Source organism: Homo sapiens, chromosome 2, assembly GCF_000001405.40.
Source record: "Homo sapiens chromosome 2, GRCh38.p14 Primary Assembly".
Lineage (NCBI taxonomy): Eukaryota > Metazoa > Chordata > Mammalia > Primates > Hominidae > Homo > Homo sapiens.
The window spans coordinates 190,979,950-190,994,218 of NC_000002.12; the positions used below are offsets into that span (position 1 = coordinate 190,979,950).

Sequence of the window (14,269 nt, forward strand, 5' to 3'; positions counted from 1 at the left end):
ACTCCCCAGGTGCCAAGGATGGAACTGTCCCATTCAGCACAGCAATGGGATCCCTCCCCTGGCAGGGAATATCAAGTTCCCTCCCCGCTCTTATCAGCATTCAGACCAGGAGCTCTCCAGAGCTCTCCACTTCCCTGGGCCGGGCTCTGCTTCCCTTTCCAAACAGTAGCAAGCTAGCCTGGGGGTGACCTCCAGCGTGACTCACGGAAACACAAGCTGCCCCACACTAGCAAAATCCAGCAGTGCAAGCTGGTCCGCACTGTCTGGTGACTCCAGCAGAATCTAAATGTTCCCCGCAGTGGGCCCCTCTGCTCGAGCAGGCCGTTAAACTCGTCTGGCTGGTCAGGCTGCGCCACCCAGCCCACAACATACATTTCACACAGAAATGGCTAAAACACTGCTGGGCAGGGGTCCAGCGTGAGTGAACAGAAGCCTCATTTCAGATATGAAAGAATGTTATCACTCAGGCAGGTGCTTCCTGTCAGACTCCTGCTCGGAGACCAACCTCCTGCACTGAAGAAAAGTAAACAACTTGCCCGAGGGGCTCCTTGGCCAGAGAAGAACACGCCAAAATAAGCAAACAGTTAAGTAACTATCACAGCAAGAAACATGAGAACCTCAACCAAGAGCAAAAAGGACTTAGAGAGCATAAAACCCAGACAGTCCTCACCTTACAAAACCTCGTCCACGGAATGAGACCATCGGGGCTGGCGTTAGGACCTAAACAAATAAAAACCAGATTTTTCAGCAAACAGAAACTGATTCTAAAGCTTTGGTTGGACGGATGGCTCTTGTATTTGCTCTCAAGGAAAAGAGCCAAACACCCAACAAAGATTGTATGTACACAGTTGACATTTTCGGATACCTTAATGCCAAATTAACTGAGCAATTATAATACGTGCTGTAAGAGGGCGGAATTTAAATGGTCTAAAATATGTATATGTTGGTTTGAGTTTAATGGCAGAAAGGAATGGATGGCAGATTCCTGGGCACCACGATATGAGAGTTTTTAGGGAAAGCGGAAACATCACAAAGCCTTACCATCTGCTCTCTCCCTCCCCAGCCCCCCTTTTCCCTCCCTCCTCTAAAGAGAGGACAGTCCTTTTAATGCCTCTTCATGTTACACTTCCTTCCAAGACCATCAGCTGACTTTGCCTTTTGCACTAAATCAAAGGTGTTCTGCTGGGCCTCCTAGAGAAGCCTCCCTATCCAGTGCCTCTTCCCACTGCCTTCCTCTGCTGCTCAGCAGAGCCCCCTCTCCCAAGGATCCTACAGAATTTTTTTCAAAGTTCAACCTAGGTGCCCAAGATCACCCCTAGATCTTCAATGTAACTGATACTTGACTTTACAAGTTTATTTTAGACATTATTTATGCATTTCCCTCAGCTTTCCTCCAAATAGGACATGGGCTCAGGCAGTCTGATGCAAATCAAAAACCAAGTGAGAGAAACGAGAGGAAGAAGCCCGGGGTTATTAGCTACACAAATTAAAGCAGCCTGGGCGAGAAGAGGCGGTAAGCCCATTATCGGTCTTCAAAGAGAACTACAAATGAGCCATTACAGCTAGAAAAGATATCCTTCTTAACTCTCACCAAATAAAGAAATGGAATAAGGGGATTTTGTACTTGTATTAAACAGCACAAGACCACCACTGTGACAGCTGCATATCCAAGAGAAGAAGGCACTGTTGAAAGTCACTGAGTTAGGAAGAGCCTACTGCTGTTTGGAGTAAATGCAGTGCTGCTCTACAGAAAGCAAATCTGGATACAAGTTGTCCACGGATTTTTAAAGAAATAGTTCAGATAGCCTCACTCACTGAAAGATCTGACCTTGAGACTAGTGGATCTTTGATTTGTTTAGTATGAAGGACTAATAAATGCACTGACATTAACCACTGAAAGGGAATTATCTACCACTGTCTAGACTCTGTCCAATCAGGCAAAACTGCAGATCAAAAGAGGCATCCTCTTGTGGGGACGGCATCCTCTGCTACCTGGGCCCCACCTGAGGCAAGGGCCCTGGGTTTATGCTGCAGTGGGCAAGCCCCAGGACTTTATTTCTCATCATGTCAGGGACTTCCTTTTTTCTCCCCAAGGTTAATGGTTAATAGGCCTTCATCTTTCTCATCCAGGAACTTATTTCAGCCACAAATAATATATTTTACATAATTCATAAAACTTTCCCTTGGGAATTCATCTCAGAAATCTTAATATGAGACAATGAGGAACGGATTCATTTAAATGTTATCAGGTCTATATTTCTTTCTAAGGTGACATATGATTCTCACTTAGCTATAATAAACTATAGCTTGAAAAGCTGACAGATTTTAGTACTTTTTTACCTTTAACAAAATAGCAGAGGGGAAAAGAGCAATTAGAGAGATATTTTTATGAATTTCAATTTTTATAAACATAACAAGTTAATATGCATATACCAAGAAGCTTCTCTCCCAACATGTTCAGCTGGTCCACATTGAGACCTCTTTTGGTGACAGAAGAAAACTGCCAACTCAGCACTTCTGAAAGCTGAGCCCATCGTGCACATGGTGGAGTCAGGAAGAAGGACAGATTCTAGAGAGAAAACACCCAAAATCTAAGGGTTACTACAGAGACACCAGTCACAAGTGTGGCACTAAAACATATGTCCATCCCAAAGTTCAATTCTAGTTTATATGACACACAGGTGCTTTCACAGTAGGGGAAGAGAAATACAGTCAATTTTCATTATTTACAGATGCACATTTGTGAACTTGTTTACTCACTAAAATTTACTTGTAACTCCAAAATCTAAATACATGGCATCTTTGGGGTCATTTGAAGACACACCCGTGCACACACAGCAGCACACAGCAGCAAAGAATTCGAGTCTCTTAACACGCTTCCAACTGAAGCCAAACAAAATGACACTCGCTTCCTGTTTCACCTCTCATAAGAAAAACGTGTCCTTTTTGAAGCCTATTTAGCGCCATGTTTTTTGCATTTTGTGACTGCTGTTGGTGATCCCTGTTTAAAATGGTGCCCGAGCATAGTACCACAGTGTGGTCTACTGTTCCTAAGCATGGGAAGGCTGGGATGTGCCTTATGGAGAAAATACATGTGTGAGGCAAGCTTCACTCAGGCATGAGTTACAGTGATCCTAGCTATAGGTGTAATGTTAATGCCTCAACAAGTGTATTAGATAAGGTGTCTTTAAACAGAAACACACATAAACAATGTTATGCATTGATGGGTTGACAAAAATGTTGTGACCAGAGGCTTGAAGGAACCTAGCCTCGTAGTTCCCTTAGGAGCAACAATTCATTATTTGCTAGTTAAGTGTTCCTGGTGACTTTAAAAAACATAAGTACTTTGAATAATTATAAATGACTGTAATTAATTAACAGTGAGTATCCACACTCTAAGAATGGAGCATGCTTGTTTAGTAGATGTATACATTTTAAAAATAATAACAATAAAGTGGTATGGAATCACTGACTGCCCTAGCTTACCCACATGGGAGAAAAAACGTAATTCTCATTTCAAATACATATCCATGCTTCATATTCCCAGATTTACTCAAAAGCCTTAGAAATACCACAGGAGCTTTGTCACTTCTCCCTTAACAACTGGCCATTGGGGCTATTTCAGAGATGCAGCAGTGAGAGCGTGGGGTCTCTGCTTAACCCTGGGACCAAAGCAAATGTGTTTTCCATACCCTGGGTTCCGCCACCAGCATGTTGTACCAAAGGATGGAGGCCCAACCGCTCGGGAGCTGGCTGACGTTGGAGATCACCACAACGGGCAGAGAGGTCGTCTAAAGGATGACAAAGACCTTGAAATCATCTGAATCACAGAAATGTCACCTTCAGATAACTGCTTAGCCTCAACTAAAAGCAGGGGATTATTTGTAAATTTGTACATATTTAATACTTGAAAATGAGAAGTGTTAAGTTCTGTTCTTCTGTCCAGTTTAACTTGTCTTTGATGTATCTTTCAGTTAAGAAATAAGTCCCTAAAAATAATAATAGCTACAATAATTAATTAAGGGATATGCAATATGAGAAGATGAAAACTGTCACAATGAAAACATAAAATGTGGGGGGAGGGCAGAGCAAAATAAATAAGTCCCAATGCTTAATGTAAAAAAAAAAAATTAACATCAGCGATCTCAACTGGAACTTTTAAGTTATTGAATTTGAAGGTTAATTCAATTGTCTAGCTTTCTGGACCATAAATTAAGGTTAAGATAGTATTAGCTGAAAAAGATCATTTTAAAACAATTAGGTAAATACCTCCAGAACAAACACTGAGAAATAAAAATACATGTAACAATTAAAAGTAAAAATAATGAAGTTTTCCAACTCGGGACCATAAAAGTCTTACCTCGAGGTCAATTACCAAACCAGGCTGGCACAATTGGGTTTCAAAACTAAGGGAGTGAAGCTCTTCAGTAACGATGAGAGGACCCTTGGAAGAGAAAAGGAAAGAAGAAAAGAATATAATTATTCACAGATCCTAAAACTTTCAAAAGCCCAATTAACATTGCAACAGGCCACAGAGATCCTGGGCCCAATCAGTGGCAAGTCTGAAGACTCAATATTCAATCTCTCCCAGATTTAATGATTCTTAGTATCTCAGTGTGCTCTGAAAGATAAGTGTCTGAAGTTACGGCAAGGGTTATAGATTCAGAGCAATGATTGTCAATGGGGAAAGAGCAACTAATGGCTTTGTGACCTAAGGCTTCTCGACCCTCAGCTCTGTCTGCCTGCCCAGTGTGGCTGCACATCTCAATGCAGATGGGTGGGGAGAAGGTGAGAGGACTGGGAGTAAGTGCATACTTGTGATTGTCTACTGCCTACCGGAAGGGCTGACTCACATCAACTTGGCAGGTCACAAGTTGTCTTGGTTTCGGTAGAAATGGATAGATTTCAAAGTGCCTTCATAAGCATTACCTCATGTGAGCCTCACAACTTAGAACTAGAGAGGTGCAACAGCTAGACCCAGGGAGGTCAAAACATAGTTCAGGCGCACACCAGGGCTAGAAGGCATCTTTGCACTGCCTGGGCCTGTGTTTGTCCCGCTGCTCCATGTGACCTCCACTGGTCCTGGTGTGGAAGGACTGCACACTGTGTGTGCATAAATGACGAAAGTGTTCTCAACCAAAACAACTCCAGATATTTCATCCTTTGTCCATAGTTCATTTCTGAATGCATCACAAACCCAACTCCTTAAGGATCACGCTGTAGGAAGGAAACTGATGCAAAGGCAATGCTTTTGGTAGGGGATGCAATGGCCGAAAAGCCCTCTTGGCACACAGCAAGGCAGTCATCAAAGTGGCCTCTCGTTCCAACTCTGACAGTAACTCTGTGCACCCTTAGCTAAATCCTGCAAACTTCTGTGAGTCAATTTCTTCACCCGTAAGATGCGAAGAATACAAAAGCCCACAACAGCTACTCCACTGAGTTGTCCATGAGTGTCTAATGAATTTGTGTGCAAAATCGTTTGACAATAGTAAAGCACAAATGTGGTGTTTTTACTGTTGTCACAGATATACCAAATACCCAGCTCCTTTGCTGCTCTTCCCTGATGGGTCTGAACTCCTCTGTGAGGTGTCCCCAGCCACCAACTGACCTGTCCTTGCTAGACAGACCTGCCTGATTTGGGCCCATTCACAACATAAAGGGACTCTCACCTCATTCGTTCTGGTGCCAGCATTTTTCTGTTCTTTCAATTGCTATAAAACAAATAATCATCTTAGTAAACACCATGGTAATGGTCAAAGTTGCTATCTTCATTTACAAATGAGAACAAAGTTAGGACTAGAAAGAATGACAGACGTGACTTTATCTTTAGAATGCAGAACATGGGACAAATTGGCCCTCGTTCAGGGTCCATGAGCAGAAGCACGTTTCCTCAGTGGCCTCATGGTGCGGACACCAGTCTGGAGGGATCTCTTGGAATCACAACCCGCTCCTCTCCTGTGTTCAAACTTTCCCTGAATGTTTCCCCATGCACCTTCGTTAACTGTTTCATGCCCTGAGGCTCGGGACAGCTTCTCCCTCCCCTTTCCCTCAGCAGAGTCCTCCAGGCTGGGCCCAGTGACTCCAGGTCCACCTGCCCTCAAGTGGACGTCAATCTCTGAGCTGTCAATCCCTGAGCTGACGAGGGAGCAGGCTGGGGCCCTGAGGGCGGCTCTGAATACCCTCAGGCACCTGAGTTGGGCTAAGCTTTCGAGTTAGGTAGAGCTTCCTAGCTACGAGGCTTGCTGGATCACAAAGTGGTCTCTAGTGAAAAAGGATGCCTTTAACCTCCTGCAGGTTCTGGGCCCAGGGAAAGCTTCGGACTCAGCACCCACAGAGCCTCACAGCAACTGGCAGCCCCCATGTTCACAGAGGAGGAAAGATGGTGCACCCACACAGAGCATCCTGCTGGGTCTCCACTGCCTGGGGAATGAGCCCTACTGCCCTGGAGAAAAGGTGGTAGAGTCAGGCTGGCGTGGAGGCAGGGGCTGTGGGCAGGGCCACCAGGAAGGGGAACACGGGGGCTGAGGAGTGAACCCTGGTGTACAGGACCACACTTGGATCACAGTCAGGACACGGGAGCCATAACCTTTGAGAAAACTGCAAGCGTAGGTGAGTGACCGTGGGGATCATGCAGGCAGCAAGTGCAAATCATTTACGTAAACACAGGCTTAGGAAATATTTTTACTGCAAGTGATACAGCCCAGAAAACAGAGTGAACAGTCGTGGGATAAGGAGGAGAAACCAAAATGCCCCAAGTACTGGCGACAGGAAGACACCAGCCACAAAGTCTACAAACCCCAGCAGGGGGGCGTCCTCCACATGGCAATGTGCCAAAAAGGGCTGCTCTATTGTCAAAAGTCCTAAGAAACCAGAGACAACATAGAGAGGAAACTGATGTCCCTACCAGGTGCCGAAATTCAGCCGCCAGACTGCCATTGGTGGACTCCTCCATGTTCATCACTTTTGTGTGCGTGCCCAAAATGTTGAACTTCCTAAATCTATACAATATAGGAAAGAAATGCTGAAAAGTCTTCCAACTATTAAATAAATAAAAATATAGCACAGTATAGCGTAAAGTACGTCACGTACCCTTTTACTGTATTTCTCTCATTCACATCTCTGCAAAAAAAATATATATAATCACATATGCGTATTTAAAATTTGAAATAAGCTTTAACAAAATTATAAGAGTATAAGAGCATAAGAGTGTAAGTGAATGATGAATAAAAAATAAATCTACACCTATGGATTTGCAGCCTTTCATTCACTCCCTGCTTCCATCTACCCATACTAGGTCTGGCAAGTATCACTGAATGACCTTTGGCAAATAAATGGTCTGGGCCTTACATTGTTCATTTGCACAACATACTAACAGTGCCAACATATAGGACATCATGAGGAATAAACTAGTTAATTCCTCACCAGTACACCCTCAATAAATGTAAGCACCAGCACCAGTACACCCTCAATAAATGTTTAAGCTATCGTTATTGTTTATTGAGCAGCTACTTGGTGCAAGGCCCTGCACTAAGCACTGGGGATCCAGCCAACAGCACTGCCCAGTAGTCACAAAGCTCAGAGGACTGCCAATGTGACCATTTAATTCTCATTTTTATTCTCTATGATCTTTAATGCTCTCATGAAAGTACCAGGAAAGTCAGTTATCTGGGGAAAGTGGCAAGTTTAAGTTTTAAGTCTGAGGTTAAAATTTTGAAAGACCTTGCACTTCTATATCCAGTGATTACTTTGTCATGTTCTGGCCAAATAATGTATCCGTGAGCGTCCTAGATGTAGACTAGAAATCATGGGCTCACTCACAGATCTATTAGTTCCCCTTCCTTTCCAATCTCAACCAGAAGTTCAATGCTTTTGTGAATGACAATCACCATTAGCTATGGAAGGGACCTATTTTCCCGTTTGGAAAAAAAAAGAATTTAAAATAAAAGGGATAGTATGATAAAAGCTGACTTGTCAAAGCTAAGAAGACCGTCAGAGCTGGAACCGACAGAAAAGACACAAGGGCCCGAAGCAGCTGAGAGGAGCTGAGCTGACGCAGAAGATGGTAAACTGCAATGGCAACACAACTCTTGTGCTTCCTCCGTTTAGGAAGTAGGATATACTTCCCCATCCCCCGAATCTCAGCTGGCCTTGATTTGCTTTTAGCAACAGGATGGAAGGGAGTGATGCTATAGATGTTCCAAGGCTAGCACTCACAGGCCTTGTTCACTTGGAACACTGTCACCATGGGAAAAGCCCAGGCTAGCCTTTTTGAGGTGCATGAAGAAGGACCTGGTTATCCCAGCTGAGTCCCAGTCATGTAATAAGGCCTTGCTAGAGCACCTGGCTCCAACCACACTAGCTCAGACCAGGACAACCTACAACTCACAGAATATGAGAAATAATGAGTTTTTGAGTTTTTAGCCACTAAGTTTTTGTTTGTTTGTTTTTAGACAGAGTCTCACTCTGTCACCCAGGCTGGAGTGCAGTGGCATGATCTCAGCTCACTGCAACCTCTGCCTCCCAGGTTCAAGCGATTCTCGTGCCTCGGCCTCCCAAGTAGCTGTGATTACCGGTGCACACCACCACACCTGGCTAATTTTTTGTATTTTTCGTAGAGACGGGGTTTCGCCATGTTGGCCAGGCCGGTCTCAAACTCTGGCTTCATGTGATCTGCCTGCCTTGGCCTCCCAAAGTGCTGGGATTACAGGTGTGAGCCACTGCACCTGGCCTAGCCACTAAGTTTTGGGAGTGGTTTGTTAGGAAGCAAAAGCTAACCGATATACCAAAGATGATGGCAGGGAAGACAAGGCACAGACCATGCTATGAGGAAGAATATTCTTATAGGAGTGGGAAAAAGCAAAAAGCCAGAGGAAAATGATCTGAATGATCATAAATCATTTTTGAAACTTGCCAAAACAGTATGTGACACAAGCTAACAAAAACATTAAATATGGGAGGGGTGGGGGGGGAGCCATCTTGTTCCTTAATGAGAGTGGCCAAGTTAGTGCCAGTCCAGGTCTAGGGTCTCAGGGCAAAATAGGATGAGGCTGCTCCACCTGGACCCCCAAGAGAGATGCCCATTCCTGGGTTCCCACTGCCCAGAAGAGACAAGAGTGAATCCCACAGGCTCCACACAGTCTCCCCAAGATGCTGCTGACCTCGCTCCAGAAAAAAACCCCCAAATGACCACAGAATCATGGCAGCCTGGACGTTCAGCCTCGGGTTGGATCAGGGGCCTCTCCTTTGGGGCTGACCTAGAAGGAGGGGGTGGCATGCCAAGTCCAGCCACTTTGAGACTTGCTGATTACAATCTCATATGCACAAAGAGACACTCACTCTTTTGTTCATTTATAGTCTAAAAAGGCACAGGAATGTTGATACCAGCTCCAGGGGAAGCTCCCAACATCCACCAAGGGAGCTGCTGATTTAAATCTGCTGGGGTCATTTGTGATGGCCCTGGTGGATCTGACTAGAAGTCTCTGCTCATGCGCAGCATTGTCAGGACTCTGGGTTCAGCCCTGGGGCCCTAGGGAGGCAAACTTCCACCCAGTATAGACCCTTCCACAGCTAGAAATCTGCTTATTTAGTGGAGGAATCTGTGCTTGAGTAACAAAATCAACATTTCAATAGTACATGTATGTTATATAATGTTAAAGATATCTTACTTATCAAATAAGACTTTGACTTTCAAATTATAATTCAGCTCTTGCAATTTCACCAACAGTCTGGAAAGAAAAATAAAAGCCATTACTTAAAAAAAATTATCTGTTACAATTTATTTATTATGCCAATTCCCTATTAACGTTTAGATAAACTACTCCCCCTCCAGTTTTAGGGTATTACCAACAAAAAAACTGACAGTTTTGTAGATCTACTTAAATTTTTGTAAGTGTATTTGTAAGAATAAATTCCTAGCTGTGGAACCGCTTAGGAAAAATTGTAACACTAATTCTGACAGGATGCCGCCCTGATTTTACATTGCCACCAAAAGTTAATGAGGGTAGCTGTTTACCTCTATAACCTTGCCAATATTCAGTTTCATCACAATTTCGACCTTTGGCCAATTTATATGGGTAAAATAGCAAACATTACTTTCTATTAAAACTTGTATCTAATCTTTGTCCTGTTGGGAGACAATAAAAACTATTGCCCATAAGCAGAAAAAATAGCGTCCCATCTATAGTCACCCCAGGGTAGCATGGAAAGATGGAGGGCAGGTGAGAGGGTGTACCTCTGCTCCACTGAGCTGGAGACTTTGAGAAGGAGACCCCGGGGCTCTGTCTGCTCCGTTCAGTGGAGCAGGTGGATGGGATCAGATTTCTACTGTCCCTTCCAGCTGCTGAGTTCTAAAATTCCACGAGGGCTTCAGTGTGACATTGTACCTACCAGCCAGGGAGGGTTAACCACAGACTTAAATCAGCAACACCCCAGAAAAAGGACCCGGGCCAACTATGAAGGCCAGTCCAGTTCTTCAGCGTCTAGCTACTCATCATAAGAAGAATGCTTAAAGCAATGCAGCCATTCAATGGAAGAAAGTAAAGCCACATATTCCTGGAAACACTTCTACAATTAGTATCGAGGAGAAAGACTACAAAACAATGTATGTAGCCTACTCCGAGTTTTTAAAAAAGAAATATGTCATATTTGTGTGTGTGTGTGTCTCTATATGAAATATTTGTGTAGACATGGAATCCTAATTTTTTAAAAAGGAAACATTATGTCATGTTTGTGCGTGTGTGTTTCCGTATGAAATATATATTTGTGTAGACATGGACAAAATCCTGGGAGGACAGACACTAGGCCATTTACTGTGGTGGTCCACAGATATTTATATCACGGACTGCTTTGAGAAACTGATGAAAGCTATAAATCCATCCATCAGAAAAATGTACATGTTATAAATCCACATTCATACAGCTTCTGGGGTTCATAAGGCTCAGGTTATGAGCCTATGCCCAAGAGGGGTGAGGCAGCCAGGAACTTTTACTCTCTATTACACACATTTCTGCAATTTGGAATTCTGTTTTCCTGTGAACACGCATTACATTTATGATTGGAAAAAAACCAGGAGTGTGTACATATATGTATATCAGTTACATTTCTACTATGAATATATTAATAAAAGACTCTCAGATATTCTCAGTAAGAGTTCATATTAAAGTGCCCCCTGAAAAATTATTTCCTCAAAAGCACCCTATATAACAGTTTTTATAAAAGGAAACTAGGGGTACAAACTACGTGACAGGTGATGTATGGGATGCCATCTTTCCCTTGTTACCTCAACTTCACAGTGAACTGGACCCCTGTCTTCAAGACCAGCGGCCTCTGAGGGTGCGTTGGCATGCAGGGCTGTCTTTCCACCACAAACGAGCTGCAAATACCCAGCAAAGGATAGATAAGTTAGCATTTCCATTAAGGTTGAGGCAATCACAATGATTTTCCTGAAAGAAAAAAGGGGGTTAGAGAGTACGATCTAAAAAATCATTTGAAAGATTCTGACAAGTTGGATGAACAAAGTGATATTTTCTAATTAGTAAAGAAATCCCAAAACCTAATAGGGACTTAACAGAAACAGAATAACTGTAATGATCTGTGAAACTATTACATTGAAACAAACATACAATGAAGGCTAGGCACAGTGGCCCATGTCTGTAATCCCAGCACTTTAAGAGGCTGAGGTGTGAAGATTGCTTGAGCCCAGGAGTTCAAGACCAGCTCAGGCAACATAGTGAGACCGTATCTTTACAATTTGTTTTTTTTTTTTTAATTAGCCAGGCGTGGCTAATTAGTCCCAACTACTGGAGGGTTGAAGTGGGAAGATCACTTGAGCCCAGGAGGTTGAGGCTGAAGTGAGCCATGATCACACCACTGCACTCCAGTCTGGATGACAGAGTGAGGCCCTGTCTCAAAAATCCAAAATAAAAAATAAAAACCCCGTATTTAATTATGTTCATTTACATGTCAGAATTAAGAATAAAATGTGCACTCAAAGTACAAGTAATGTTTTTAAATTTTAAAAAACCCAACATACAGGACTTCTTGTTTGAACATTAGCCATAGGGAACCAAGTACATTTTTTTAAATATTACTTCCAATAAGTACGATATTTATTAAACATATCTTCAGTTGTTTTGTTACATAGTATGCAACAAATTACAATATTCTGCAGCCACAAATTATATGCAGAGTATGAAGAAGCTATTAATCAGACAGTGTAATCTTTCCATTTATAACTCTACAAGGAAGAACTAGCAAATCAGATCTTACATATAACATCTCACTAAACTTTACGCATGGAAAGTGACAGACACTGCTTGTGCTGTTTGATATAAAATGGCTGAACTTCATCTTCAGAAGACTATACCTGACATCTAAACACACCAATATAAACATCAAAACAAAATATATTCTAACCAACCACGAGAAAACAGTCTGATATCAGGAAAATACATTATTTTATAAACCAGCACACAAAGGTTTAAGACAGTTCTGAAAATGAAGTTAGCTGTCTTGAGTCAAGAGAATAAAAAAAAAAAGTCAGTATTGACCATTTACAATCTCTGACCTCTGTGGATATGGTAAGAATCTGTTGTAGTGCAGCTACATACAGTACAATTCAGGCAATTTTGTTTCTTCACTTGGGTTCAGATTGCAAATTTATTACTGTGAGAAAAGGATGGAGGCAAATTTTAGCAGGAACCTCCACCTGACTGCTTGACCAGAGTGCTCTGAATTTTAACACTGGACTTCTCAGCACCACCAGCTGTTGCTCCAGGACCCATTAGCTTCTTAATCTCAGCTGCCATCATCATGGAACACAGTTCTACATTCATTGCATTCTTTCTTTTTTTTTTTTTTGAGACAGAGTCTTGCTCCGTCTCCTAGGCTGGAGAGCAATGGCGCAATCTCGGCTCACTGCAACCTCCGCCACCTGGGTTCGAGCAATTCTCCTGCCTCAGCCTCCCAAGTAGCTGGGATTACAGGCGCCCGCCACCATGCCTGGCTAATTTTTGTATTTTTAGTAGGGATGGGGTTTCATCATGTTGGCCAGGCTGCTCTCGAACTCCTGACCTCAGGTGATCCACCCACCTCGGCCTCCCAAAGTGCTGGGATTACAGGCATGAGCCACCGTGCCGGGCCTTGTTGCATTCCTAGCACTAGTTTCCAAAAACAGAATTCCAAGGGAATCAGCAAATTCCTTGGCTGTTGTGTAGTCTACTACTTTCTCTGTGGTCAGATCACACTTGTTCCCTACCAACAATTTGTTGACGTTTTCACTGGGATAATGATCTATTTTCTGCAGTCACTGTTTAATATTATTGAAGGACTCCTGATCTGTCACATCATACACCACTAGGATGCCATTGGCTCCTCTGTAATAACTGGAGATGACTGTTCGAAACCTTTCCTGTTCTGCTGTGTTCCATATTTGAAGCTTGATTGTTTTCCCGTCTAACTCTATAGTTCTTATTTTGAAATCCATACCAATTGTGCTGATGTAGCTTTCTGTATATGTTATCATCTGCAAACCTAAGAAGGAGGCAAGACTTTCCAACCCCAGAGTCGCCAATCAGAAGTAATTTGAATAAATAATCAATTTGGGATTCATGCTGGACATGTCACTGTAGCTGCCACCGCTGCCACGGCCACCCTTGCTGCTACAGCTGCTGCCCTGACTCTCTGCACCACGGGTAACTGAAGGAAAGGAATGAGATAGGCTGTTCTGGGAGAGTAAATGTCTTCCCCGACTCTGCCCCCTGGAACGCAATCAGCAGCCGCTGCCACTCAGCTATTGCTTCCACCCAAAATCAAGTACATTTTTATCATGTCAAGTTTGCATTAAAAAAAAAAAAACTTGCAATATGAACCCTTCTTTTCCACTCAGTGACATTTATCTATCTACTAAGTGTGTCTAGAGAGCCTACTGTTCACAAGGCACTGCGCTAGGTCCTGCTGGGGGAAAAGGGTGACAAAGGCATGTCTCTGCCTTCCAGAACTTTATGATATTCAAGAAATATAAAGAAATACATAACAACTATATAACAAAAGGCAGAGTAGGAAAGGAACGAAGGGTGACTGTAGGCCACGAAGGGAGATAACATCTGTTTGGGAAATCTGGGAAGATTAAATGATGAGATACAAGGTGAAGCTTTCGGGATGATACAATTTTGAAAGCAGGTACATGAAAAGAAGGCTCTGAGGAAGAGGAAGTATCCTCAGGAGAGCCACAGAAAAGCAAGTATGCGGCATGGCCCCTATAGGAATCAGC

General features: G+C 43.1%; 1 protein-coding gene and 1 pseudogene across 15 annotated transcripts in view; both read right to left on the reverse strand.

Moving 5' to 3' along the window:
• The window catches only part of STAT1 (signal transducer and activator of transcription 1), a 45,023-nt gene that overhangs the window by 10,801 nt on the left and 19,953 nt on the right, over nt 1–14,269 (reverse strand). For 11 of the 15 annotated variants that reach the window (NM_001437284.1, NM_001384890.1, NM_001384883.1 and 8 more), the window contains 9 exons: nt 11,279–11,371; nt 9,666–9,725; nt 7,090–7,119; nt 6,905–6,998; nt 5,670–5,711; nt 4,361–4,444; nt 3,693–3,791; nt 2,434–2,569; nt 671–720 (listed from right to left, as the gene is read on the reverse strand). In NM_001437284.1, coding sequence (NP_001424213.1) covers nt 671–720; nt 2,434–2,569; nt 3,693–3,791; nt 4,361–4,444; nt 5,670–5,711; nt 6,905–6,998; nt 7,090–7,119; nt 9,666–9,725; nt 11,279–11,371 — 688 coding nt within the window. The remainder of the gene's footprint in view (nt 1–670; nt 721–2,433; nt 2,570–3,692; nt 3,792–4,360; nt 4,445–5,669; nt 5,712–6,904; nt 6,999–7,089; nt 7,120–9,665; nt 9,726–11,278; nt 11,372–14,269) is intronic. The other 4 variants (NM_001384882.1, NM_001384887.1, NM_001384880.1 and 1 more) reach the window with 4 other exon arrangements.
• RAB1AP1 (RAB1A pseudogene 1) lies at nt 12,493–13,809 on the reverse strand (annotated as a pseudogene).